Source organism: Homo sapiens, chromosome 1, assembly GCF_000001405.40.
Source record: "Homo sapiens chromosome 1, GRCh38.p14 Primary Assembly".
Lineage (NCBI taxonomy): Eukaryota > Metazoa > Chordata > Mammalia > Primates > Hominidae > Homo > Homo sapiens.
This window is the reverse complement of record NC_000001.11, coordinates 31,036,451-31,064,080: the sequence shown is the minus strand read 5'-3', so window position 1 is coordinate 31,064,080 and position 27,630 is coordinate 31,036,451. Positions and strand designations below refer to the sequence as shown.

At 44.1% G+C, this 27,630-nt stretch overlaps 1 protein-coding gene and 1 pseudogene across 2 annotated transcripts in view, besides 1 other annotated feature; one reads left to right on the top strand and one right to left on the bottom strand.

Annotated features, from left to right (window-relative positions):
• PUM1 (pumilio RNA binding family member 1) overlaps nucleotides 1-27,630 on the top strand; it is a 134,212-nt gene that overhangs the window by 1,637 nt on the left and 104,945 nt on the right. For both annotated transcript variants that reach the window (NM_014676.3, NM_001020658.2), the window contains exon 2: nucleotides 4,504-4,877. In NM_014676.3, coding sequence (NP_055491.1) covers nucleotides 4,515-4,877 — 363 coding nt within the window. In that variant the 5' untranslated portion in view covers nucleotides 4,504-4,514. The remainder of the gene's footprint in view (nucleotides 1-4,503; nucleotides 4,878-27,630) is intronic.
• Nucleotides 7,104-7,604: an enhancer, noted in NCBI's record as "H3K27ac hESC enhancer chr1:31529324-31529824 (GRCh37/hg19 assembly coordinates)". NCBI's record gives its function as "activates a minimal SCP1, AML or CMV promoter by ChIP-STARR-seq in primed H9 embryonic stem cells {active_cell/tissue: H9 hESC(primed)}" and the evidence as "EXISTENCE:reporter gene assay evidence [ECO:0000049][PMID:30033119]".
• Nucleotides 12,905-13,209, bottom strand: LOC107985097 (40S ribosomal protein S29-like; annotated as a pseudogene).

The following is a 27,630-nucleotide window of genomic DNA, read 5'->3' as shown; positions in this document are numbered from 1 at the left end:
ATTTGAAAGCTGTGAAAGAGTAGCTGGACTGAGCACTTCTAGTTGCTTAAAGTACTTATAAGGTGTCATTTGTAAAAAAATCACATTTTAAATGCTACACGTATTAGTGAGCTTTTCTGATATTTAGGATACTGAGTTTTTAATTTTTGTGCCGTATTTGCCAAAATACCACAAAACTACCCAAGATAACATGTTAATTGCTTAGGTATTTGCTCACTTTGAAACTGTTCTGCCAGGTTTTCTCTGGTTTGAGAAACTGCCTTGCCTCTTTAGGTAAAGCAGGAAGTCTTAGGGCATACAGATAGCTTTACAAAAGCCAATTGTTTCGTTTGAACATTTTTATAGGAGTCTTTTCTTTCCCCCATTCCTTTTAGAATGAAGGTGTGTTTAGTGTGCGTCAGTGATAAACTCCTCTTTTATGTGGATATTCTTTGTTAGATAACTTTTTTCTTTTAAAAATTTTTATTTGTATAATTTGTGAGGTACAAGTGTAATTTGTACATGCGTGTATTGCGTAGTGGTGAAGCCAGGGCTTTTTGTGTGTCCATCACTGGAATAACGTACATTGTCCTCCTTAGGTAATCTCTCATTATCCTTCTCTCAGCCTCCTAGATAACTATTTTGAGAAGGCTTTTATTTCAGAAAAGATTGCATTTGCTGTTTTAGGAATTCTGTTAGGGACTGGAGTTGCCTTAACTAGGGGTAACTAAATTCTAAGAGTCTTAAGCACGATGACTTTAAATTTACCAAAAACTTTTATATTTATCTCATTTTCATTAAGAAAAACCCAAAACATTGAGAGTCATAGAGGAAGGATTTCTTTCATTTTCTAGATGAGGAAACAGGTAGTTTTGTTTAGTGAAAGAACTTGGGTTTTGGAACTCTTGGCCTGCTCTAGAACAAAGATTGTTAGGTCGAGATTTCCTTTTAGAACAGAATGGGACTGTCTAGTATTAGTACTAAGAGAGTAATGAATTCTTTAAAAAACCAAGCAGGGAGGCATTAGGCTGGTTTGCACTTTTGAAAGACCGATGGTGAAACCGGGCTATGACTTTTTGGTTTTGGTACTTGAGCAGGGACTAGTGTCTAGGTTAGACTACTCCAGTACCCTGCTAAGGTTCTGATGGATTGGAATTCTTAACCTAGACTAGGCATTTCCAAATTAGGCTTTAAACAAATTACAAATTCCATTGTGTCTTCTTAGGCTGGCTTCAAAAACATGAATTTAGTTGTGAGAAGCAAATGCTACTTTATCAGAAGGTTTATTTATTCAACAGAGAGATAGTAGATTTGTTATTCATGTGTTTTTGAAGCATCACAGTGGGGGTTGGGAGAAGAGATAAAGCATTTGTAGCAGTAGACTGTTAGGCCGATGGCTTTGAAATTAGACCGTGGCTGTGGACAGGTGTGTCCTAATTGGTAACTGATTTATTTACTTTGTAGCTTTTTTTTTTTTTTTTTGAGATGGAGTCTCACTCTGTCGTCCAGGCTGGAGTGCAGTGCCTTGATCTCGGCTCACTGCAACCTCCGCCTCCTGGGTTCAAGCGATTCTTCTGCCTCAGTCTCCCGAGTAGCTGGGACTACAGGTGCGTGCCACCACACCTGGCTACTTTTTATATTTTTAGTAGAGACGGGGTTTCAGTATATTGGCCAGGCTGGTCTGGAATTCTGACCTGGAGATGCGCCTGCCTCCGCCTCCCAAAGTGCTGGGATTACAGGCGTAAGCCACCGTGTCCGGACACTTTGTAGCATTTTTTAAAAGCACCCACAGGCTGGCAAGTGTTCTATCTTAAGTACAGATGCAGTTTTTGGTTTTAAGGAACTTTAGTGTTTCATAGTAACATTTGAGGGATTCTTTGTTGGTCTTCCAGAGGAGTAGAGGATACAAATGAGACATATTGTTGAGTTACTCCTGCAAGGGGTTAGTAGAAAGAAGTAAGCTTGGGAACGATTAGGGTTTGAATCCTTTCTCTGCTACTTGCTAGTTGAATGGCCTTGGAAACATCCCATTTTCCTCCTGTACCTTAGTGTTTTCATTTGTAAAATAGAAATAATAATGGCTACCTTTCAATGCTTTTGTGATGAGACAATGTCTGCGATATATTCATTACACTATTACCGTGTTGAAGCTTCTGTTTGTTTGTTTGTTTTTGAGACAGGAACTCACTCTGTCGCCCAAGCGGGTGTGCAGCCTCCCGCTCCTGGGCTCAAATGATCCTCCCACCTCAGCCTCCCTAGTAGCTGGGACTATAGGCACATGCCACCATGCCTGGCTAATTATTTTTAGTAGAGATAGGTCTTGCTATGTTGCCCAGGCTGGTCTTGAACTCCTGGGCTCAAGCTGTCTGCCCACCTCAGCCTCCCAAAGTGCTGGGATTGTAGGTATGAGCCACCACACCCAACTGAGGCTTCTGGTTTGTATAGTGAGGCTTTCTTTTTTTTTTATAATTTAAAAAAATTATTTTATTTATTTATTTATTTTGAGACAGAGTCTCGCTCTGTCGCCCGGCTGGAGCACAGTGGTGCGACCTCTGCCTCCCTGGTTCAAGTGATTCTCCTGCCTCAGCCTCCCAAGTAGCTGGGATTACAGGCGCGTGCCACCAAGCCTGGCTAATTTCTGTGTTTTCAGTAGAGTCGGGGTTTCACCATGTTAGCCAGGATGGTCTTGATCTCCTGACCTCATGATCCACCCGCCTCGGCCTCCCAAAGTGCTGGGATTACAGGCATGAGCCACCGTGCCCAACCTCCATTGGCCTTCTTAGAGCCTTATTTTTTAATAAAATAATAGAGATGGGGGTCTCACTGTGTTGCCTAGGCTGGTCTTCAGCTCCTGGCTCAAGCGATTCTCCCTGCCTAAGTCTCCGAAGGTGCTGGGATGACAGGAGTGAGCCACTGTGCCCAGCCTGTAGTGAGGCTTTCTACACTAATATGAAGTGTTTAAATTTGGTTTGGTCTCATCCTGTTTATAGTAGTTGAAGTACTAATGGCATAATGTGATTACAGTTAATAGTTGTAAGTTACTGGTAAAAATATTAATGCTTTTAAAAATCAGTGACAACTGAGGAGAGGGCTTAGGCTAAAAGCATTCTGCTGCTGTTCTTGGTCAGAGGGTTTTATTGTTTCTTTAAGAAATATCCTATCAATATATTGGAGGTTTTATTTATTTATTTATTTATTATTTTTTTTTTTTTTACTGAAACAGAGTCTCGATTTGTCGCCCAGGCTGGAGTGCAGTGGTGCGATCTTGGCTCACTGCAACCTCTGCCTCCCGGGTTCAAACGATTCTCCTGCCTCAGCTTCCCAAGTAGTTGGGATTAAAAGTGTGTACCACCACACCCAGTTAATTTTTGTATTTCCAGTAGAGATGGGGTTTCATAATGTTGGCCAGGCTGGTCTCGAACTCCTGACCTCAAGTGATACACCTGCCTTGGCCTCCGAAGTGTTGGGATTATAGGCGTGAGCCACCTCGCCTGGCCAATATGTTGGACACTTTAAGGGATCCTTTCAAATTACACAATCTGAGCCATTGCTACTTATATATGGGTTTAGGCTTTTGTTTAGTTATTAGCATATGTCTGCTCCAGCTGTAAAGTTGTGATTGATTGATTGATTGATTTTTTGAGAGAGAGTCTCGCTCTGTCACCCAGGTTGGAGTACAGTGGCATGATCTCGGCTCACTGCAACCTTTGCCTTCTGGATTCAAGCCATTCTCCTGCCTCAGCCTCCCGAGTAGCTGGGATTACAGGTGCCCAGCACCATACCTGGCTAATTTTTATATTTTTAGTAGAGATGGGGTTTCACCATGTTGGCCAGGCTGGTCTTGAACTCCTGACGTCAGGTGATCCACCCACTTTGGCCTCCCAAAGTGCTGGGATTACAGGCATGAGCCACCACACCCGGCCGAAGTTGTGATAGTTTTAAAAAGGCTTTTGGGGCTGGGCGCGGTGGCTCACGCCTGTAATCCCAGCACTTCCGGAGGCCGAGGTGGGTAGATCACCTGAGGTCGGGAGTTCGAGACCAGCCTGGCCAACATGGTGAAACCCCGTCTTTACTAAAAATACAAAAAATTAGCCACCCGTGGTGGTGGGCGCCTGTAGTACCAGCTACTCAGGAGGCTGAGGCAGGAGAGTCGCTTGAGTCTAGGAGGCGGAGGCTGTAGTGAGCCGAGATCGCGTCATTGCACCCTAGCCTGGGCAACAGGGGCAAAACTCTTGTCTCAAAAAAAAAAAAGCTTTTGTTCATTTAAAAACTGTCAGTTGGTTTGAGGTATAAGTAAGTTGGGTAGACTGATAGAAGTCTAATTCTGTATTGCTATGTGTTGGTTAACAACATAAACTTCTCTGAAGTGGTAGTATTGAGTTCTGATCCCAATACCTTGCCAGAGTGCATGCCACCAACGACATTTATTTATTGTAAAAGACATGGGGTTCATGTTTTTATCTTAGTGTGTTTTATGTTTCAAAAGATGGAAATATTAAATATTTGTAACCTGTTTGTCCTTAGGTGTTGGTGGAATGAGCGTTGCATGTGTCTTGAAGAGAAAAGCAGTGCTTTGGCAGGACTCTTTCAGCCCCCACCTGAAACATCACCCTCAAGAACCAGCTAATCCCAACATGCCTGTTGTTTTGACATCTGGAACAGGGTCGCAAGCGCAGCCACAACCAGCTGCAAATCAGGCTCTTGCAGCTGGGACTCACTCCAGCCCTGTCCCAGGATCTATAGGAGTTGCAGGCCGTTCCCAGGACGACGCTATGGTGGACTACTTCTTTCAGAGGCAGCATGGTGAGCAGCTTGGGGGAGGAGGAAGTGGAGGAGGCGGCTATAATAATAGCAAACATCGATGGCCTACTGGGGATAACATTCATGCAGAACATCAGGTAAAAAAAAGTTCACTATTTTAGCTTTGACATTCCTTTATAATCACTGTCCACTTAGGATATCTGCTTTCAATGAATGTCTTTAAAAACTTAAATTGCTGATTTCATTTGGTACAAACAGTTACTTGTTATAAAGGTTGATCATTGTAATACTGTTACTGGGTCATTTATCATTCTGGTGCTAAATAGTAAATAGCCAATTCATTCATTCATTCATTCATTTGAGACAGAGTCTTGCTCTGTCACCCAGGCTGGAGTGTAGTCGCCTGATCTCGGCTTGATCTCGGCTCACTGCAGCTGCTGCCTCCCAGGTTCAAGCAGTTCTCCTGCCTCAGCCTCCTGAGTAGCTGGGACTACAGGTGTGCACCACCACGCCTGGCTGATTATGTATTTTCAGTAGAAACAGGGTTTCACCATGTTGTCCAGGCTGGCCTCGAACTCCTGACCTCAAGTGATCTGCCCGCTTCGGCCTCCCAAAGTGCTGGGATTACAGTTGTGAGCCACCCACGCCCGGCCTATAGAATGCATTTTTTTTTTTTTTTAAGACGGAGTCTCACTCTTTTGCCCAGGCTGGAGTGCACTGGCGCGATCTCTGCTCACTGCAAGCTCCGCCTCCCAGGTTCATGCCATTCTCCTGCCTCAGCCTCCCGAGTAGCTGGGACTACAGGTGCCCGCACCATGCCTGGCTAATTTTTTGTATTTTTTTTGGTAGAGACGGGGTTTCACTGTGTTAGCCAGGATGGTCTCTATCTCCTGACCTCGTGATCCACCCATCTCGGCCTCCCAAAGTGCTGGGATTACAGGCGTGAGCCACTGCGCCCGGCCTACAACGCATTTTTAAGAACACTTTTTTTGGAACAAAGGATTCTTTTTTTTACTGTTGACATAAGAACTGCTAGGGTTGTTTATAGGATAGATACATATTTTTGAATCTTTTCTCTTGGGTGTGGGTGACTTGATTTTAAGATGTTGTAGTTGAAAGTAGGGGGAAGTTGATAACATCAGCTGCTCAAGTGAAATTTATTTGAAATGGGACTGATATATTGTGTCAGAGAGAAGTGGTTGTGGCTTTTAGGTTTTAACCACCTTTGTCCTCTTGTTATTGTTTAATTTTTAATTTTAACATGTTCAGTCTTATTAATCTAAAACCATAGTGGGAATCATAGCATATTTTACTGAGAAGAGAGGTTAGCCTTATCCATGTTTCCTGATTTCTTGATAATGACCAACCAAAAGATTAGACTGTTTTGATCAGGGTATTCTTTGAAATTGGGTATAGGTTGAATTTGGAAAGGTTCATTTTGTGTCACCCGTCAGTACTGATTAGCGAGAACTGACATTTTTCATTAGGCTTCTAGTGCTTCTGTTTTACTTCAGAAAAAATCAGGTACAAACATACCTGCAAGTCTGATTTTATTATACTTCCTCTGATCCCCCCAAAAGTGAACCATAGTTGTTTTTTTTTTTTTTTTTTTTTTTGAGATGGAGTCTCGCTCTGTCGCCCAGGCTGGAGTGCAGTGGCACAATCTCGGCTCACTGCAACCTCCCCCTCCCAGGTTTAAGCAATTCTCCTGCCTTACCTTCCCGAGTAGCTGGGATTACAGGCACCCACCTCCATACCTGGCTAATTTTTGTATTTTTAGCAGAGAGAGGGTTTCACCATGTTGGCCGGGCTGGTCTTGAACTCCTGACCTCATGTGATCCACCTGCCTCAGCCTCCCAAAGTGCTGGGATTACGGGTGTGAGCCACCATGCCCAGCCCTTTTTTTTTTTTCTTTTTCTTTTTTTTTTTTTTTTTGAGACAAGGTCTGGCTCTGTCATCCAGGCTGGAGTGTGGTGATATGATGATATTGGCTCACTGCAACCACGGTCTCCCTGGTTCAAGCGATCCTCCCACCTCAGTCTCCTGAGTAGCTGGGACTACAGGTTTGCAACACTACACCCGGCTACTTTTGTATTTTTTGTAGAGACGGGGTTTTGCCATGTTGGCCAGGCTCTACTTTGAGCCCAGGCTCACAGTGATCCACCTGCCTTGGACTCCCAGAGTGCTGGGATTGCAAGTGTGAGCTACTGCATCTGACCAGTTCTTTACTATAGTCGAAACAAAGACAGGCTGGGTGCAGTGGCTCATGCCTGTAATCCCAGCACTTTGGGAGGCCGAGGTGGGTGGATCACCTGAGGTAAGGAGTTTGAGACCAGCCTGACCAACATGGTGAAACCCTGTCTCTACTAAAAATGCAGAAATTAGCCAGGCGTGGTGGCGCATGCTTGTAATCCCAGCTACTTGGAAGGCTGAGGCAGGAGAGTCACTTGAACCTGGGACAGGGAGTTTGCAGTGAGCTGAGATCTTGCCATTGCACTCCAGCCTAGGCAATGGGTGAAACTCCATCTCAAAAAATAAAGTAAAAAATTAGCTGGGCGTGGGGGCACATGCCTGTGTTTCCAGCTGCTTGGGAGCCTGAGGTGGAAGGATTGCTTGAGCGTGGGTGGCAGAAGTTGCAGTGAACAGAGATCATGCCACTGCACTTCAGCCTGGGCAACAGAGTGGGACCCTGTCTCAAAAAAAAAAAAAAAAAAAAAAAAAAAAAAAAAAAGAAAAGAAAAGGAAGGTTTTCAGCTGTAAGGCTGAAAGAAGGCTCACCCCTGCAATCTCAACACTTTGGGAGGTCAAGGCAGGTGGATCACCTGAGGTCAGGAGTTCAAGACCAGCCTGGCCAACATGGTGAAACCCCGTCTCTACTAATAATACAAAAAAATTAGCCTGGCATGGTGGTGCACACCTGTAATCCCAGCTCCTCGGGAGGCTGAGGCAGGAGAATCGCTTGAACCCGGGAGGTGGAGGTTGCAGTGAGCAGAGATCACACCATTGCACTCCAGCCTGAGTGACAAGAGCGAAACTCTGTCTCCAAAAAAAGAAAAAAGAAAGATTTTCTCTTTCTTTGGGATGAAGATATGCACAGAATTTGGTGATTGAATTAGAAATCTTATATCCTGGAAAGATGAAGTAATGGAGGAAAAGTACAGAGTGCCTCTGGTTTGGGACACAGTGATTACATTTGATAGGACACCTGTTGAGTTTGAGGTAGAAGCAGAATATCTGGGTGTATACTGTAGGCAGCTCTACCTGTAGCAGGAAATCAAGGTAGGAGGTATTTGATTTGGGTGGCATCTGTGTAGTGGGGCAAAAACAAACCCTGTAATCTCTGTACTATTTGGCTAAATGTTATTCAAAAATCATAAACATTGGTTTTTTAAAATCTGTAATAAAGATCTATAAGATCTTTTGTTGTGTTTCCTAATGATAGACTGATGGGTGGAAGCTGAAAGGAGAGTCAAGGTGCCTGGCAGGTTCTTTGCTAGGTGAGCAAATCAAACTCTAGGTCAGTCCTTGGCAGAGCTCTAAGATCTGATTATTGCTGTGCAAGTTAAGAAGCGTTTATTGAAGGCTTACTCAGGCCTCTGTCTTACACTGAGCCCTATCATAAGGAATCACATCTGACTTACTGAGCAGTTTTATCCAGGTCAGTTAGCAAACTTGAGTTAATAATAGTAAATGGCAAAACCTGTTTCCCACTCAGGTGGCCTAAACCAGTGACCTTGGAATTGGCATTCATCATTACAACACAATTCTTTGGGCTGGACGCATGAAATAATGAACAACGTTGGGGAACTCAGGGTAGTTGGTATATTGCAGTTGTGGACCACCCACAGGTTACTTTTCTGTAGTCATTATAGTGTATTGTACTGGTTTTAGTGTTGTTCTCACCTTCTGGACTGAACTATTCTAGATCAGAGACTTGTGTTTTTCATGCCCCTTTTCCAGGAGGTATTATGAAACTTTCGTGTTGATTGAATGAGGGAAGACGAGAGGTTCTTCAGTTTTGCGCTCAGGTAAAGGAGTGGGTCTTACAGCTCAGTCATCCTGCTGGGAAACACATGGCAACAGGTAGAGGCCACTTGATAGGCAGCTGTGCTAAGGGTAGCATAATTGAAGAGCAAAGGGGCACATCTCTAGGTGGAGAATCTCTGCCCTTATTAGCCACTGTTACGGATAGGAGGTGTAAGAGGGTGCCTGATCTGTCATGTGGGTCAGAGTGAAAAAGAGGTTGAGAACCACTGATGATAACGGAAATATTTATATGTTCTAGGCATTGGGCTATTGTATTTCCTATATATAATCCTTACAGCAATCCTATGAAGGAGATAAATACCCTTTTTTGAAAAGTGAGAAACTGAGGCTTTGTTACCAGGTAATACCTGGTTTTTGAAATCAGTCTTTGATTCCAGTGTCCACGTTCTAGATCTGTTTCTGCTTCCCTAGGCAAGATAAACCAGACAAAACTGTGCAACCAAGTGGCACATTACAGGGCCAAAGAATTGTTTTGCCATAATTTTGCTTGAAATTTAGAGACTGTAAACTTAATAATGAGATGAATACAAATGTTGACCATTCTCCTATAATTGCAGGAGTACTTGCCCCCAACTCCCAAAAGCAGTAATGGTAAAGTCCATTTTTCTTCAGTTCTGTTTTTTATTACATATGTGTTCTAAGTGGTAATGTGGATGGAAAATTATCTCTGTAGAGACAGAATGACTCAATATAAAGTGATCCTATTGCCAGCTCATTCTACCCTACCACTGGGCCTTTTTTTTTTTTTTTTTTTTTTTAGTGGCCCTTTGGCATAATGGAACAAAGTTTGAGATCGAATTGGCAGGATGCTTTCACTAGTGAACTAGCGAAGTAAAGAATATCACAGGCTGTGATGCCAGTAGCATTGGAGGGAGGGGAACTCTTTGTCATGCCAGGTACTTTATTTCTCTCGTAATTACTCCCATTTAAGAGCAATTGCTTTTACACTTTTTTCTTTTTATTTATTGAGACAGGGTTTCACTCCTGTTGCCGAGGCTGGAGTGCAATGGGCACCATCTAGGCTCACTGCAACCTCTGCCTCCTCGGCTCAAGCGATTCTTCTGCCTTAGCCTCCCTATCCTGGGACCACAGGCACACGTCACAACACCTAGCTCATCTTTGTATTTTTTGTAGAGGTGGAGTTTTGCCATGCTCAGGCTGGTCTCAAACTCCTTTTTTTTTTTTTTTTTTTTTTTTTTTGAAATAAAGTCTTGCTCTGTAGTCCAGGCTGGAGTGCAGTGACGCGATCTCAGCTCACTGCAACCTCCGCCTCCTGGGTTCAAGTGATTCTCCTGCCTCAGTCTCCCCAGTAGCTGGGACTACAAGTGTGCACCACCACGCCCGGCTAATTTTGTATTTTTAGTAGAAACAAGGTTTCACCATGTTGGCCAGGCTAGTCTCGAACTCCTAACCTCAGGTGATCCACCTGCCTCGGCCTCCCAAAGTGCTGGGATTATAGGCATGAGCCACCGTTCCTGGGCCACTTGTATACTTACATTAAAAAGTTTTTCATTTTTTGGCTGGACGCAGTGGCTCACACCTGTAATCGCAGCACTTTGGGAGGCTGAGGAGGGTGGATAGTTTGAGCCCCCAGGAGTTCGAGAGCAGCCTGGACAACATGGTGAGATCATGTCTCTACAAAATATACAGAAATTAGCCAGGCATGGTGGCGCTGTGCCTGTGGTCCCAGCTACTTGGAGGGCTGAGGTAGGAGGATCACTTGAGCCCAGGAGACGTAGGTTGCAGTGAGCCGAGATTGTGCCACTGCACTCCATTTTGGGTGACAGAGTTGAGACCCTGTCTCAAAAAAAAAAAAAGGCCTCCCAAAGTGCTGGGATTACAGGCGTGAGCCACTGCGCCCGGCAGAGAGCCCTCATTTTTGGGCCAAACTGAGGTCTTCGGAGGGAAGTGAGGGAAAGAAGTCTCATGAAAAAAATTTTTTTTTTTTTTTTGCCTGTAAAATTATACCCATAGTATACAATTAAGATAATGTGGACTGGGCGTGGTGGCTCACGCCTGTACTCCCAGCACTTTGGGAGGCTGAGGCAGGTGGATCACGAGGTCAGGCGTTTGAGACCAGCCAACATGGTGAAACCCTGTCTCTACTAAAAATACAAAAATTAGCCAGGTGTGGTGGCACGTGCCTGTAATCCCAGCTACTCAGGAGAGGCAGGAAAATCGCTTGAATCGGGGGCAGAGGTTGCAGTGAGCCGAGATCCCGCCACTGCATTCCAGCCTGGGTGACAGAGGGAGACTCTGTCTCAAAAAAAAAAAAAGATGATGGATATTGGGCCAGGCGTGGTGGCTTATGCCTGTAATCCCAGCACTTTTGGAGGCCGAGGTGGGCGGATCAGTTGAGGCCAGGAGTTCGAGACTAACCTGGGCAACATGATGAAACCCCGTGTCTACTAAAAATACAAAAATCAGCCGGGCGTCGTGGCGCGTTACTGTAATTCCAGCTGCTCGAGAGGCTGAGGCATGAGAATTGCTCTAACCCGGGAAGCAGGGCAGAGGTTGCAGTGAGCTGAGATCGCACAACTGCACTCCAGCCTGGGCGACAGAGCAAGGCTCTGTCTCAAAAAAAAAAAAAAAAGATAATGGATATGGAGCAAAATACTAGAAAATAAAGCTGGGTACATTGGCTCCTGCCTCTAATCCCAGATACTCAGGAGGCTGGGTCAGGAGGGTTGCTTGAGGCCAGGAGTTTGAGACCAGCCTGGGCAATATAGTGAGACACTGTATCTACAATAAAAAGGAAAAAAATTAGCTGGGCATGGTGGCATATGCCTGTAGTCCTACTCAAGGGAGGATCACTTGAGCCCAGGGAGTTCAGGCACTCCAGCCTGTGTGACAGTGAGATCCTGTCTCTTTGAAAAGAAAAAAAAAATGAAAAAAAGGAAATTTAAAAAACAAATACTAGGAAACACTAGACACATCTTCCCACCCAAATGAGTTATGTATTTGAAAATGTTACTCATTTTGGGCTGGGCACGGTGGCTCATGTCTGTAATCCCAGCACTTTGGGAGGCCGAGGCAGGCGGATCACGAGATCAGGAGATCGAGACCATCCTGGCTAACACGGTGAAACCCTGTCTCTACTAAAAATATGAAAAATTAGCCGGGTGTGGTGGTGGGCGCCTGTAGTCCCAGCTACTCGGGAGTCTGAGGCAGGAGAATGGCATGAACCCGGGAGGTGGAGCTTGCAGTGAGCCAAGATCGCACCACTGCCCTCCAGCCTGGGCGACAGAGCAAGACTCCGTCTCCAAAGAAAAAAAAAAGTTACTTATTTTGACAGTAATTTTTATACCTTTAGATTTTTTTCTTTCCTGAATAACATTGAAAATTTCATTACTAAAAGCCTAAGGTCAAGTCTTTGACTTGAGAGTGTTTTATTCTTGTATTGTGAAATCTGTTTTCTCTGTAAACTGCTGTGGGATAGATAAACTGGTTGATGAAATAGGGCAAAAAAATTAAAGTCGATTGGTTGAACTGTAGCCTCTGTACTGGATTATGAGGGACAGAGGTAGAAGCTTTGCCCTGGGGGAAGGGAAATTTGGAGGACAGTTCCACAGAGCTTACCCACTTTGCTTGCACTCTTTTAGCACTAGGATATATCAGTATCCATCATAGATTGACAGCCTATAGGAGATAATTCCAGAGAACCAGGCAAAAAAAAAAAATCAGTGGGTGAGGCCAGGTGCAGTGGCTCATACCTATAATCCCAGCACTTTGGGAGGCCAAGGCAGGCGGATCACCTGAGGTCAGGAGTTGGAGACCAGCCTGACCAACATGGAGAAACCCCATCTCTACAAAAAATACAAAATTAGTGGGGCGTGGTGGCGCACGCCTGTAATCCCAGCTACTTGGGTGGCTGAGGCAGGAGAATTGCTTGAACCTGGGAGGCAGAGTTTGCGGTGAGCCGAGATTGTGCCATTGCACTCCACTCTGGGCAACAAGAGCGAAATGCCGTCTCAAAAAAAAAAAAAAAAAATTCAGTGGATGAATATATTTTGACTCCACTTGTACCTTCTTTTTCTTTCACTTGGTGTGGCCATCTTAACAATGATATTCTGATACCCACCCCTGACATGTCAACCAGTCTTACTCTTCAGTGCTGTTAGTCTTTTTTTTTTTGAAGGGTTTTAAAAATTTTATTTTTATTATGTATTAAAAAAGAGCTATCATGGTTTCTTTCATTGGGGTGGATGCCTTGGATAATCCATTCAAGGAAGATCACTTCGTCCAACTTAATGCAGCCCAATTTAATGAAACCCATTTTCTTCGCTTACTGACAGAAACACTGGTGGGGCATATTGAGGCCGTAATTTGGATCAGATCTTGCTGGTCTGAGCATACGCAACAAGAGAGAGAACCCTGGCTGAATTTTTGCGAGTGGCTCCAGTAGAGCTGCTGGTGACCCATCTTGCTCTCAGGAGTGCAGTGAGACAAAAGGAAAGAGCTCCAGTTAATTTTTATACCTTGTAATTAACAGGGACTACTATGTTAAACTGGGAGGGAGCCCAAGTATTTCCCAAACTGGGGAGTCTTGACATTCCCTAGAAATGTCTTTCTGTTGTACCTGCTGATGGACTCTCTTAGACAATGAATCTTGTCTACCTGGGTAGATTGCCTTAGCATTTGTGCTAGTAGCATTTGGTTAACATGTTAAAGCTGAATAATCCATCTTTCATATTTTGTTTCTCTTACACATGTACTCTTAGAGCCTTTTCATTATGCTCAGAATTCACAAGGCTTAACATTATGTGCTTGGTCAAAGGAATCATCAGCAGGCCTTCTTCAACTATAACTTTTTCTTTTTTTTGAGACAGAGTCTCACTTTGTCACCCACTGGCACTATCTAGGCTCACTGAAACCTCTGCCTCCTTTGTACAAGCAATCTGGTGCCTCAGCCTCCTGAGTAGCTGGGATTACAGGGGTGTACCACCATGCCTGGCTAATTTTTGTATTTTTAGTAGAGACAGGGTTTCACAATGTTGTCCAGGCTGGTTTTAAACTCCTGGTCTCAAGCAGTCCTCGCACCTTGGCCTCCCAAAGTACTGAGATTAAAAGTGTGAGCCACGTACCTGGCCTGACTATAATTTTAACCTAGCCTGATTATAACTTTAAGAATTACCTTGTTCCAGTGTAAACAAAAGAAGTTCGGCTGGTTGCAATTGGCTCACGCCTGTAATCCCAGCACTTTGGGAGGCTGAGGTGGGCGGATCACCTGAGGTCAGGAGTTTGAGACCAGCCTGGCCAACATGGTGAAACCCCGTCTCTACTAAAAAATACAAAAATTAGCCAGGTGTGTTGGCGGGTGCCTGTGGTCCCAGCTACTTGGGAGGCTGAGGCAGGAGAATCACTTGAACCTGGGAGGCGGAGATTGCAGTGAGCTGAGATTGCACCACTGCACTCCAGCTTGGGCGACAGAGCAAGACTCTGTCTCAAAAAAAAAAAAAAAAAAAAAAAAGGAAGTTCAGTCAGATGCTCTTCTCTAATGCTGAATGGTACTTGATTATATATGCCTCTGAAATGGCAACTTGTAGAGATATTTATGATGTATCTTTACCTTGTTTAATTTTAGAAGGTTTTTTAAATTTAATTTTATTTTTTTGAGATGGAGTTTCATCCTTTCACCTAGGCTGGAGAGAAGTGGCAGGATCTCAGATCACTGCAACCTCTTCCTCCTGGGTTCAAGCAGTTCTCCTGCTTCAGCCTCCCAAGCAGTTGGGATTATACGTGTCCACTACCATGCCTGGCTAATTTTTTTTTTTTTTTGAGACGGAATCTTGCTCTGTTGCCCAGGCTGGAGTGCAATGGCGCGATCTTGGCTCACTGCAACCTCTGCCTCCTGGGTTCAAGCACTTCTTGTGCCTTAACTTCCTGAGTAGCTGGGATTACCGGCACATGCTACCATGCCCGGCTACTTTTTCTGTTTTTAGTAGAGACAGGGTTTCACCATGTTGGCCAGGCTGGTCTCGAACTCCTGACCTCAAGTGATCCACCTGCCTCAGCCTCCCAGAGTGCTGGGATTATAGGCATGAGCCACCGCCCCCAGCCAATTTTTGTAGTTTTTTGTTTTTTATTTTTTCAGACAGAGTTTCGCTGTCACCCAGACTGGAGTGCAGTGGCACAATCTCGGCTCACTGCAACCTCCTCCTCCCAGGTTCAGGTGATTCTCCTGCCTCAGCCTCCTGAGTAGCTGGGATTATAGGCATGTGCCATCATGCCAGCTCATTTTTGTATTTTTAGTAGAGACGGGGTTTTGCCATATTGGCCAGGCTGGTCTTGAGCTCCTGACCTCAGGTGATCTACCCGCCTCAGCCTCCCAAAGTACTAGGATTACAGGCGTGAGCCACTGCGCCCGGCCTCAAAAGGTTTTTGATGTGAAATTAGTAAAATTGTATGATAGGTGGTAGTGAGATGTGACTATGGGAATAAAAGGTCATGATAGGAAAATAAATTGGAGTAAAGTTAGAAATATGCACCAGAATAATGGGTTATAGAATTTACCCTGATGGGCCGGGCATGGTGGCTCAAGCCTGTAATCGCAGCACTTTGGGAGGCCGAGGCAGGCGGATCATGAGGTCAGGAGATTGAGACTGTCCTGGCTAACACAGTGAAACCCCGTCTCTACTAAAAATACAAAAAATTAGCTGGGCATGGTGGCACGCGCCTGTAGTCCCAGCTACTTGGGAGGCTGAGGCAGGAGAATTGCTTGAACTTGGGAGGCGGAGGTTGCAGTGAGCCGAGATCGCACCATTGCACTCCAGCCTGGGCGACAGAGCGAGACTCCATCTCAAAAAAAAAATAAAAAAAATAAAAATAAAAAGAAAAAAGAAAAAAGAATTTACCTTGATGGTCCTGGTGGCTAAAGAAAAGAGGAAAGCATAATGATTCCTGAGATTCTTACTTAGAGGAAAAAACAGCAGTTAGGGAGAGTTGTGTTTGGAATTTCAGTTATAGATGTGGTTGAAGTGCTTTGTAAACTGTAAAGTAATAAGATTTTTTTTATTTCTTTTTTTTATTTTTTATTTTATTTTATTTTATTGTTTTTGAGACAGTCTCGTTCTGTTGCCCAGGCTGGAGTGCAGTGGCGCGATATCAGCTCACTGCAAGCTCTGCCTCCTGGGTTCATGTCATTCTCCTGCCTCAGCCTCCCGAGTAGCTGGGACTATAGGCGCCCGCCACCAAGCCCAGCTAATTTTTGTATTTTTAGTAGAGATGGGGTTTCACTGTATCAGCCAGGAGGGTCTCGATCTCCTGACCTCATGATCCACCCGCCTCGGCCTCCCAAAGTGCTGGTATTACAGGCGTGAGCCACTGTGTCCGGCCTTTTAAAAAGTTTTTTAGCGGAGTCTCACTCTTGTTGCCCAGGCTGTATAGTGCAGTGGTGCGATCTCGGCTCACTGCAATCTCCACCTCCTGGGTTCAAGCCATTCCAATGCCTCAGCCTCCCCAGTAGCTGGGATTACAGGCATGTGCCAACATGCCCAGCTAATTTTTGTACTTTTAGTAGAGATGGGGTTTCACCGTGTTGGCCAGGATGTCTCGAACACGTGACCTCAGGTGATCCACCCACCTCCACCTCCCAGAGTGCTGGGATTACAGGAATGAGCCACCATGCCCAGCCAGTGGGATGTTATTACTTGTTTTTCATGACACCTTTCTGTATTTTCAGAAGACACACATGTCTTTTGTGCATGTGTCCATTTTCTCTCAGGCAACAGCATTTGCTGAATACTCTGCAGGCTAAGCCTGAGTACAAAATTAGGTTTCTGGGTGTGTGGAAAGAATACTTTAACAATTAGAATCTATCTAGTTATTCACTCTTGTGAAAGGACTTAAACATTCATACAGGATGAAAGAACTGACAACATAGTGCCAGGAGAGAAGTCAGTGCTGAAGTGCTGAGGATAGGGTAAATCATCTTTTTTTTTTCTTTTCCTTTTGAGAGATTTCTGATCTCCTCTTTGTTTTTTACATTCAGTTTCTTTGACTTCTGGATATTGTAAAGAGCCATAATAGCACTGTGGCTTCAGCTCAGTGTGTAGTTGTTGGCTGCCCTGGCATTTTGCTCCTTGCTGTGAATGTACTCTTTTTTTGAGATTGGGTCTCTATCTGTCGCCTAGGCTGGAGTGCAATGGTGCAATCTCGGCTTACCACAGCTTCCACCTCCCGGGTTCAAGTGAGTCCTGCCACAGCCTCCTGAGTAGCTGGGACTAGGGGTGTGCACCACCATGCCTGGCTAATTTTTGTATTTTTAGTAGAGATGAGGTTTCACTATGTTGGCCAGGCTGATTTTTGAACTCCTGACCTTATGATCCACCCGCCTTGGCCTTCCAAAGTGCTGAGATTACAGGCGTGAGCCACTGTGCATAGCCTGCTGTGAATATAATCTTACACCTCCATGTAAGAAGTGGTGGGGTCAGTGATTGGCAATAGGTTGGGTAAGTTTAATACTTGGGAATTTGGTTAAAGAACTTGGCCCTGAATGGTGTAAATGTGTTGGTACTTGCAGTTGGGCCTTGTGTGGTGGCTCATGCCTGTAATCCCAGCACTTTGGGAGACGGAGGTGGGTGGATCACGAGGTTAGGAGTTCGAGACCAGACTGACCAACATGCTGTGTGTGGTGGCAGGTGCCTGTAATCCCAGCTACTTAGGAGGCTGAGGCAGGAGAATCGCTTGAACCCCGGAGGCGGAAGTTACAGTCAGCCAAGATCGCGCCACTGCACTCCAGCCTGAGTGACAGAGCAAGGCTCTGTCTCAAAAAAAAAAAAAACCAAAAAAACAAAAAAAAAAAACCCAAAAACCCCGCTGCAGTTATTAGACTTCTCCAGAGGAATGCGCTTCATGTTTTTTGTGTAATATTTTTTTGAAAACTGTTGATTTTTTTAATTTTGTTTTGAGAGAGAGTTTCACTCTTGTTGCCCAGGTTGGAGTGCAGTGGCACGATTTCGGCTCACCGCAACCTCCACCTCCCGGGTTCAAGCAATTCTCCTGCCTTAGCCTCCCGAGTAGCTGTGATTACAGGCGTGCGCCACCACACCCAGCTAATTTTGTATTTTTAGTAGAGATGGGATTTCTCCTTCTTGGTGAGGCTGGTTTCGACCTCCCGACCTCAGGTGATCTGCCCACCTTGGCCTCCCAAAGTGCTGGGATTACAGGCGTGAGCTACCGCCCCCAGCCCTTTTTTTTTTCTAAATTATTTTGAGACAGAGTCTTACGCTGTTGCCCAGGCTGGAGTGTAGTGGCACGATCTCGGCTCACTGCAATCTCCACCTCCTGGGTTCAAGCGATTCTCCTGCCTCAGGCTCCCGAGTAGCCGGGATTACAAGCATGCACCACCACGTCCAGCTAATTTTTGTATTTTTAGTAGAGACTGGGTTTCGCCATGTTGACCAGGCTGGTCTTGAACTCCTGGCCTCAAGTGATCCACCCGCTTCAGCCTCCCAAAGTGCCAGGATTACAGATGTGAGCCAGTGGGCTCAGCCTGAACTATTGATTTTTGTTGATAGCTTATTAATGGTTTTACTAGATTTAGTAGATGTGGATTTGTCTGTTGCCATTAGTAAGTGCTCTTTTATGGTCCAAGTACCTTTCTTAATATTTTTATGAGTCTCATCAGGAAAACTGTTCTAGGTTTTTGGAAATTGGGGGCCCTAAATATTTTTAAATTCATTTTTATTCATTAATTAATATTATCATCTTGTACAGATGGGGTCTCATGTTGCCCAGGCTTGTCTTGAACTTCTGGCCTCCAGCAGTCCTCCTGCCTTGACCTCCCAAAGTGCTGGTATTACAGGTGTGAGCCATCATGCCTGGCCTGTTAAAGATTTTTTAAAATAGCAGCTTTGGCCAGTGCAGTGGCTCAAGCCTGTAATTCCCAGCACTTTGGGAGGCTGAGGTGGGTGGATCGTCTGAGGCCAGGAGTTCGCGACCTGCCTGGCCAACATGGTGAAACCCTGTCTCTACTGAAAATACAGAAAAAAATTAGCCGGGTGTGGGGGTGGGCGCTTGTAATCACAGCTACTCAAGAGGCCGAGGCAGGAGAATCGCCTGAACCCTGTCGGGGCGGAGGTTACAGTGAACTGAGATCGCACCACTGCACTCCAGCCTAGGTGATGACTTCGTCTCAAAAAAAAAAAAAGCAGCTTTACAGATTTGTAGTTTATCCATTTAAAGTGTATAATTCCAGCTGGGCACGGTGGGTCACTCCTGTAATCCCAGCACTTTGGGAGGCCGAGGCGGGTGGATCACGAGGTCAGGAGATCGAGACCAACATATGAAACCACATCTCTACTAAAAATACAAAAACTAGCTGGGCGTGGTGGCGCATGCCTTTAATCCCAGGTACTCAGGAGGCTGAGGCAAGAGAGTTGTTTGAATCCGGGAGGCGGAGGTTGCAGTAAGCCGAGATCGTGCCATTGCACTCCAGCCTGGGTGACACAGCTATACTCTGTCTCAAACAACAACAACAACAAAAAACAAAACAAAACAATAAAAATTAGCTGGGCTGGAGCCTGAGGCGGAGCTTGCAGTGAGCCGACATCATGCAATTGCACTCCAGCCTGGGGGACAAGAGCAAGACTCCATCTTAAAAAAAATATATAGTTCAGTAGTTTTTAGTTTTTAGTGTATTCATTGTTGTGCATATATCATAATCATTAATTTTAGAATATTTGCATTACCCCAAAAATCCTTTACCCAGCAGCCGTCACTCCCCAGTCTTAGGCAACCACCAGTCCACTTCTGTCTCTTTATTTGCCTATTCTGGACATAAGTGAAGCATGTTTTGTGACTGCCTTCTTTTACTTAGCATAATGTTTTAAGGGTTCATCTATGTTGTATGTAGCATTTATCAGTACATCATTTATTTTTATTTTTTATTTTTTAGATGGAGTCTCGCTGTCGCCCAGGCTGGAGTGCAGTGGCACGATCTCAGCTCACTGCAGGCTCCGCCCCCTGGGGTTCCCGCCATTCTCTTGCCTCAGCCTCCCGAGTAGCTGGGACTACAGGCGCCCGCCACCTCGCCTGGCTAATTTTTTGTATTTTTAGTTGAGACGGGGTTTCACAGTGTTAGCCAGGATGGTCTCGATCTCCTGACCTCGTGATCCACCTGCCTCGGCCTCCCAAAGTGCTGGGATTACAGGTGTGAGCCACTGCGCCCGGCCTTCTTTTTATTTTTGTATAATATTTCATTGTATAGATCTGCCACATTTAATTTATCCATTTATCAGTTGATGGGCCTTTTTTTCTTCTTTTTTGGCTATTATGGATAATGCTGCTATGAACATTTGTGTTCAAGTTTTTTTCTGTAGACATGCTTTCATTTCTCAGGTTTGAGAGTATATAAATTTGTAATGTATAGGTACAAAAATAACAAATTTCTTCACTAGGGGCAGGTGCTCATTAGAAATGGGGGATGGGAGGATTAGTTTATCTACAACTTACACTATGGATTTGGAATTTTTCCAAGCCACACATTTTACTGGGGCTAATGACTACTTTCTTTTCTCTCTGAAGGAAGTATTTGGAGGCTAACACTGTAAATAAACTTGTTTACAAACCCGGGAAGAGGAGTGCTTAAACTGTAGAGAACAGGTGTTTTCAGTGAGCTCCGTAAACTCTTTAGATGCAATGAATATGCAGTTGATTGATCTGCTGGTGACAATTTTTCTTTATTAAAGCAAGTTCCCTAAGAATTTTAACAAGGGGACAGTTCATTAACCTAGTCTTGGTTATTATATGTATTTAAAATCACCAAATTGGGTGTTAATTATTAAGAAATGTTCTCTGTAATCCCAGCAATTTGGGAGGCTGAGGCAGGTGGATCACCTGAGGTCAGGAGTTCAAGACCAGCCTGACCAACATGGTGAAACCCCCATCTCTACAAAAATACAAAAATACAAAAAAAAAAAAATTAGCCGGACATGATGGGGGGGTGCCTATAATCCCAGGTTCTCAGGTGGCTGAGGCAGGAGAATCACTTGAACCCTGGAGGCGGATGTTGTGGTGAGCTGAGATCGCACCATTGCACTCCAACCTGAGCAACAAGAGTGAAACTGTCTCAAAAAAAAAGGAAATGTTCTTTAATTTGTTAGAGTTTATTGAGTCAAATTGCTTCCCCCACCCAGTTGTCCCAAATTAGGGAGATACCACTTTTAAGGGTCAGAAGCCTTGTAAAATACAAAACAATGAAATTAATATGTCGTTCCTTTGGAGAAACTTAGTTTCATAAAGAGAGGAGGGAATTATAAAGATAATTGTTTCTGGCTAGGCGTGGTGGCTCATGCCTGTAATCCCAGCACATGAGGCAAGTGGATCACCTGAGGTCAGGAATTCGAGACCAGCCTAGCCAACATGGAGAAACCCTGTCACTACTGAGAAAAAAAAAGAAAAATCATCTGGTGCATGCCTGTAATGGCTTGACTCTTGGAGGTGGAGTCTGCAGTGAGCCGACGTCGTGCTACTGCACTCCAGCCTGGGCAACAGAGCGAGACCCTGTCTTTTAAGAAAATGGTCTTTAAGTTCAGTGTAGCCCTTAAAAGTGATGTACATGGATTAAGGACTGGAAGAAAGTACTGCAAAGTGTTTATATTTGTATGCATGGAGAGATTACAGGTAGTATGCTTTGCTCTTGTCCATTTTGTATTTTCTGAATTTCAAACAGTTAAAAAAGAAAAAAAGACAAACCTTATACCATCTGTTAAGAGCTTGGTCTGCCATTTTGAGTGAAAGCAGATGGTTTACACATTTCCAGTGGAGTTTAGATGTTAGAAAAGACCTTGGAAATCGAAATTATTTAGCTTTTTTCCCCTGATGAAGTGCTGTCCTTTGCATTAGTTATCTCTCTTTTAATTTTTAAAAAAGTTAGTAGATATGTTGAATATAGGTTGCTGAAATAGGTTGGGTGTATTCAATGAGATCTAGAGGCAATTTTATTTTATTTTATTTTATTTATTTATTTATTTATTTATTTATTTTTGATACAGAGTCTCGCTCTGTTGCCCAGGTTGGAGTGCAGTGGTGCAATCTCGGCTCACTGCAACCTCTGCCTCCTGGATTCAAGCGATTCTCATGCCTCAGCCTCCTGAGTAGCTGGGATTACAGGGATGCACCACCATGCTTGGCTAATTTTTATAGTTTTAGTAGAGACAGGGTTCCAACCATGTTGACCAGGCTGGTCTCGAACTCCTGACCTTAGATGATCCACCTGCCTCGGCCTCCCAAAGTCCTGGGATTACAGGCGTGAGCCACTGGGCCTGGCCTAGAGATGATTTTATTTTAGTATTATTTCCTTTCTGTATCTAGAATTAATAACGAGTAATCATATGCTTTGTCCTGGAAGTGTTCTAATATTTTTACATGATTTGAGCCACTCAGTACTGTATGCACATTTTTATCTTTCTCATTTTTTTTTAAAAAAAGTATGTTAGTCCATTTTGTGTTGCTATAAAGGAATATAGGAGACTGGGCAATTTATAACAAAAAGAGGTTTATTTGTCTCAGTTTTGCAGACTGTACAGGAAGTAAGTTACAGCATCTGCTGCTGGTGAGGCCTCAGGACACTTTTACTCATGGCAGAAGGCACAGTGGGAGCACATGTGTCACATGGTCAAGAGAGGGAGCTGGAGAGAGAAGAGGTTCCAGGCACTTTTAAACAGCCAGCTCTTGTGTGAATTAATAGAGTGAGAACTCACTCATTACCATGGGGAGGATATCAAGTACTTCCTGAGGGATGGGCCCCCATGACCCAGACACTACACACTAGGTTCACCTCCAACCTTAGAAGTCACATTTCAGATGAGATTTGGAGGGGACAAACATCCAAGCTATATCAAAGTATAATATCCTTTCCCCACACCCCCCGCCCCCCAGAGGATAGCTTTTCTTTAAAAAAAAAATTTACTTTTTGACTGGCCGTGATGGCTCATGCCTGTAATCCTAGCACTTTGGGAGGCCAAGGTGGGAGGATCACTTGAGTCTAGGAGTTGGAGAACAGCTGGGGCAACATACCAAGACCCCCATATCTGTTAAAAAATATTTAAAAAGCCTAGGAGTTTAGTTTTCATAAGTGCTCAGTGAATGGCATGATGCTATTCAAAATTGAATTTAATTATTTCCTTCAATTCCTGTACTGTATTCTGTTTCTGTGGTTGATATATCCATTTGTGGCATGTTAGGAGCTATCCTAGATTTCTGCCTCCTGTTTCTGCCGACAATAGTTCCGAGATTATACCTATGTTGCTTTATTTGATAGGCTCATGTTTCTTGCCTGGAGATGTTCAGTAGTCTTCTCACTGGCTTTCCTGCATCTCCCGTTTTCTTCTTTGTAGCCATTGTCTGTGCCACTGCCAAATTGATGTTTTTGAAGATACGATCTGCTTATTTCTCACCCTTTTGCTCACGCACTCGTGTGTGTGTGCGTTTTCTTTCCTGTTGCTTTTGGGATAACTTCTAAGCTCCTCCTCATAGCATAGGAGACCTTTCATGTTATTTTTTTTTTAAAGATAAAATAAATTTTTATTTTAAATTTATTATTAGTTTTAGAGATGAGGGTGTTCACTTTGTTGCCCAGGCTGGACTTGAACTCCTGGCCTCAAGCAGTCCCTTCCCCCTTGTGTAGCTGGCACTACAGGCATATGCCTTCGCATGCCCAGCTGTCTTTTGTGTTTTGGTCCAGCTTGCCTCTCCAGTCCTTACTGGCGCTCCATTTCGGCTATACTAAAGTATTTGTAGTTTTGTGAATACCCATCCTATTTTTATAGTTTGTGCAGTTTCTCAGCATACTAGTGCTATTTTTATTTATGTAGTTTTCTCTTTGGAATCCCCTACCTTCTTCATTTACCTGGCCTTTTCCTCATCTTTCAAGCTTCAACTAATGTATCTTCATCTCTGATAAATGTACTCCTTTACTCCCACTTTTCTCCAAGGTTGGGTGCCTGCCTTTGATGCCACTATTGTATGTCATACACATCTCATTGAAGCTTTATCTTCCTGTATTGGAGTTTAATATTTACTTTTTCCCTTAACATCCGGTGCTAGGAAGCTGTTTCAATAAAGAGATTCTTGGCGGGGCATGGTGGCTCATGCCTGTGATCCCAGCACTTTGGGAAGCCAATGTGGGAGGATCGCATGAGCCTAGGAGTTCTAGAAGAGCTGTGGCAGCATAGTGAGACCCTTGTCTCTATTTTTTAAAAAAAAGAGATTCTTGGGCTTAAGTCCAGTCCTGCTGAATTAGAATTCTCAATGATAAGACACAGTTCATGTATTTTGTTTTTAATATTTATTATTATTATTTTTGAGATGGAGTTTCGCTCTTGTCGCCCAGGGATTACAGGTGTGAGCCACTGGGCCCAGCATGAGTTTTTTTAAATTTCTTGTGAGATAGAGTCTTGCTCTGTCTCCCAGGCTGGAGCACAGTGGCAGCATCTCAGCTTTCTGTCTCACTGCAGCCTCTGCCTCCTGGGTTCAAGCGATTATCCTGCCACAGCCTCCCAGGTAGCTGGGATTACAAGTGCGCCACCATGCCTGGCTAATTTTTGTGTTTTTAGTAGAGACGGGGTTTTACCATGTCAGCCAGGCTGGTCTTGAACTCCTGACCTCAGGTGATTAGCCTGCCTCAACCTCCCAAAGTGTTGGGATTACAGGCGTGAGCCACTGGGTCCAGCCTAACATCTTTTTATATACACCCATCTATAGCCTACGTTATAGAATCCTTACACATACATAACATTTTTCTGTGTTTAAAAAGTTTTAGCCTGGGTAGGCTGGGTGCAGTGGCTCATGCCTGTTATCCCAGCACTTTGGAAGGCTGAGGTGGGTGGATCACAAGGTCAGGAGATTGAGACCATCCTGGCTAACACAGTGAAACTCTGTCTATACTAAAAATACAAAAAAATTAGCCGGGTGTGGTATCAGGCGCCTGTAGTCCCAGCTACTCGGGAGGCTGAGGCAGGAGAATGGCACGAACCCGGGAGGCAGAGGGAGCTTGCAGTGAGCTGAGATCGTGCCACTGCACTCCAGCCTGGGTGACAGAGCCAGACTCTGCCTCAAAAAAAAAAAAAATTTTTTTTTTGTTAGCGTGGGTAACAGGGAGACCTCATTGCTATAAAAAAATTAAAAAGTCAGCCAGGCATGGTGACATACACGTGTAGTCCCAGCTACTCAGGCAGCTGAGGTGGGAGGACTGCTTGAACCTGGCAGGTTGGGACTGCTGTGAGCTGTATTTGTGCCACTGCATTCCAGCCTGGGTGACAGAATGAGGCATTGTCTCAAAAAGAGAAAAGGAAAAAAAAAAAAAAAATATATATATATATATATATATATATAAAATTTTAAAACATTTTAAATGGCTATATAAATTCTCTAAGTATATGCTTTAATAATTACTGCTGTATTTAGACTGTTTCCATCTTTTCCTATTACAGTACCAGGTTAAAGATGTTTGTTAACAAATCTGTGCCCATATTTCTCATGATTTGCTTAGGTTAAATTCCTAGAAGTGGAATTACCAGATCAAAGGGCATGAATATTAATCAAACCCATATTACATATTGTCAGATGTCCAGAAAAGTCAAATAAAGCAAGGTAAAGTTGTGTGTATTTGTATGCGTGTTTTAAAGAAGGATAAGAATCATCTTAAAGAACCTAGCTCTAGCAGTACTATTTCACCACTTGTATGACTAAGGGCAGTTTCTCACATTACAAATATTTGTATGTAATGCCTGTCATGTTTTTGATACTGTGCTAGACGCTCAAGGGATTATTTTTAGGGAGATAAGACAAATCACCATAGCACTGTTAATAAGGTGCGGTTTGGTACTTGGCGGGTGTTACTTCAGATGTTAAGGAGAGTGTAGAAAGTAGTGTCTACCATGGTCTTTGAACAGTAGTCTACATTTCTGCAATGCCTAGTCCATCGCAAAGGGAGAGCAAATCAACTAGAGAAGTAATCGCAGGTTAAAGTTTTTCCCCCTTGTTTAAATAATTTCTACCCCCTCAGTTCATGGAGACTAACACTGTAGGCATGCCTGGTAGCTGATAGTTCTCCTCTGAACATATTTCTCTCTCTCTTTTTTTTTTTTAACCTTTAGCTTTAAAGATCATCTGCATTTTCTTCTGTAATAAAAGGTATCCACCCATTTGGCCATGTTTATTTATTCTTTAGCAGTTGAAGTATTAAATGATGCCAGGGTTTTTTTTTTTTTTTGAGATGGAGTCTCACTCTATTTCCGAGGCTGGAGTGCAGTGGCGAAATCTCGGCTCACTGCAACTTCCGCCTCCTGAGTTCACGCCATTCTCCTGCCTCAGCCTCCCAAGTAGCTGGGACTACAGGCCCCTGCCACCACGCCTGGCTAATTTTTTTGTATTTTTTAGTAGAGACGGGGTTTCACCGTGTTAGCCAGGATGGTCTGCTGACCTCCTGACTGTGTTAGCCAGATGATCTCCTGACCTCGTGATCTGCCCACCTTGGCCTCCCAAAGTGCTGGGATTACAGGTGTGAGCCACCACGCCCGGCCCTAAATGATGCCAATTTTTATTTTAAATCCTGAATAATCTTATATTCCTTCTTTCTTTTTTTGAGACTGAATCGTGCTTTGTCGCCCGGGCTGGAGTGCAGTGGTGCAATCTTGGCCGCTTCCTTGGTTCAAGCAGTTATCCTGCCTCAGCCTGCTGAGTAGCTGGGAATACAGGTGCCCGCCACCACGCCCAGCTAATTTTTTGTATTTTTAGTAGAGGCAGGGTTTCACCATGTTGGCCAGGCTGGTCTCAAACTCCTGACCTCAAGTGATCCGCCCGCCTTGGCCTCCCAAGTGCTGGGAGGCATGAGCCATTGTACCCAGCCTAAATTCATTATGTTTTAGATCTTTAACTTTCTCATGGGGAGGTAGATACCCAGACTTAATAAACCTTTTCACTGTCCACCTGCTAGTCTTGGAAAATAATTTTAATGAAGCGTCACCGATACTTGGACAGTTTCTGTCACGTCAGCAGAGAAATATCAACAGGAGTGATTGTAAAGTGGCTAGTCTTATGGTCCAAGTGTTACGATCTTTGATCCACTTTTCAATTTATTTCAAGATCTGATCTATATTATTTTCTAGCTCTTCTGGTTTATTGCTGAATAGTTGATGCCTGGTTTTTCCTTGTAGGATATTGTGGCTTCATAAAGAGTGAGAAATCTCACACTGAGTATTGTCTTTTAGTTTCTTCTGACCTTAACCCCTTGTTTAAGTCTTGTGTACAATACACTGGTTGGTATCTGTTCTCAGCACAAAAAACTATGTGAAGCCAGTGTTCAGGGAAGAAACCACAACCATGGTAATCAGCAGTATCTTTACCTTCTCTCATATGGTTATCTGACTCATCAATTACTCTTATCTTCATCTGAAATGGGACAGTCATACTCTTCTTCATTATAGCTATCAGACAACTGCCCTTGTGCTGAACCACCCACATTAATGTATTTTAGGCCTGGTCTTGATGTAAGTTCTTTGCCTCGTGTGGTTTTTCCTACCCTTCGTGTACTCTGAGTGTGGCTCCAAAGACCTAAACGTGTCCTCATGTATAGCCAGGAACTTCATAGCATTCTTCAAAACAGAACACTAAGCTGCTCCCCAGTGGAGAGCTCGAGGCCTCAGAGCACTCCGAATCCCTGCCTCCCCTGCTGTCCAATCCCATTTTTAGCCAAGTGCCTTGACTGGGGAGCAGGATGTTTGCCTGAACATATTTTTTGTAGAGATGAGAGTCTGCTGTGCTGCCCAGGCTGATCTTGAACTCCTGGCCTCGCCTCAAGTGATCCTCCTGCCTTGGCCTCGAAAGTACTGGCCATGTAGA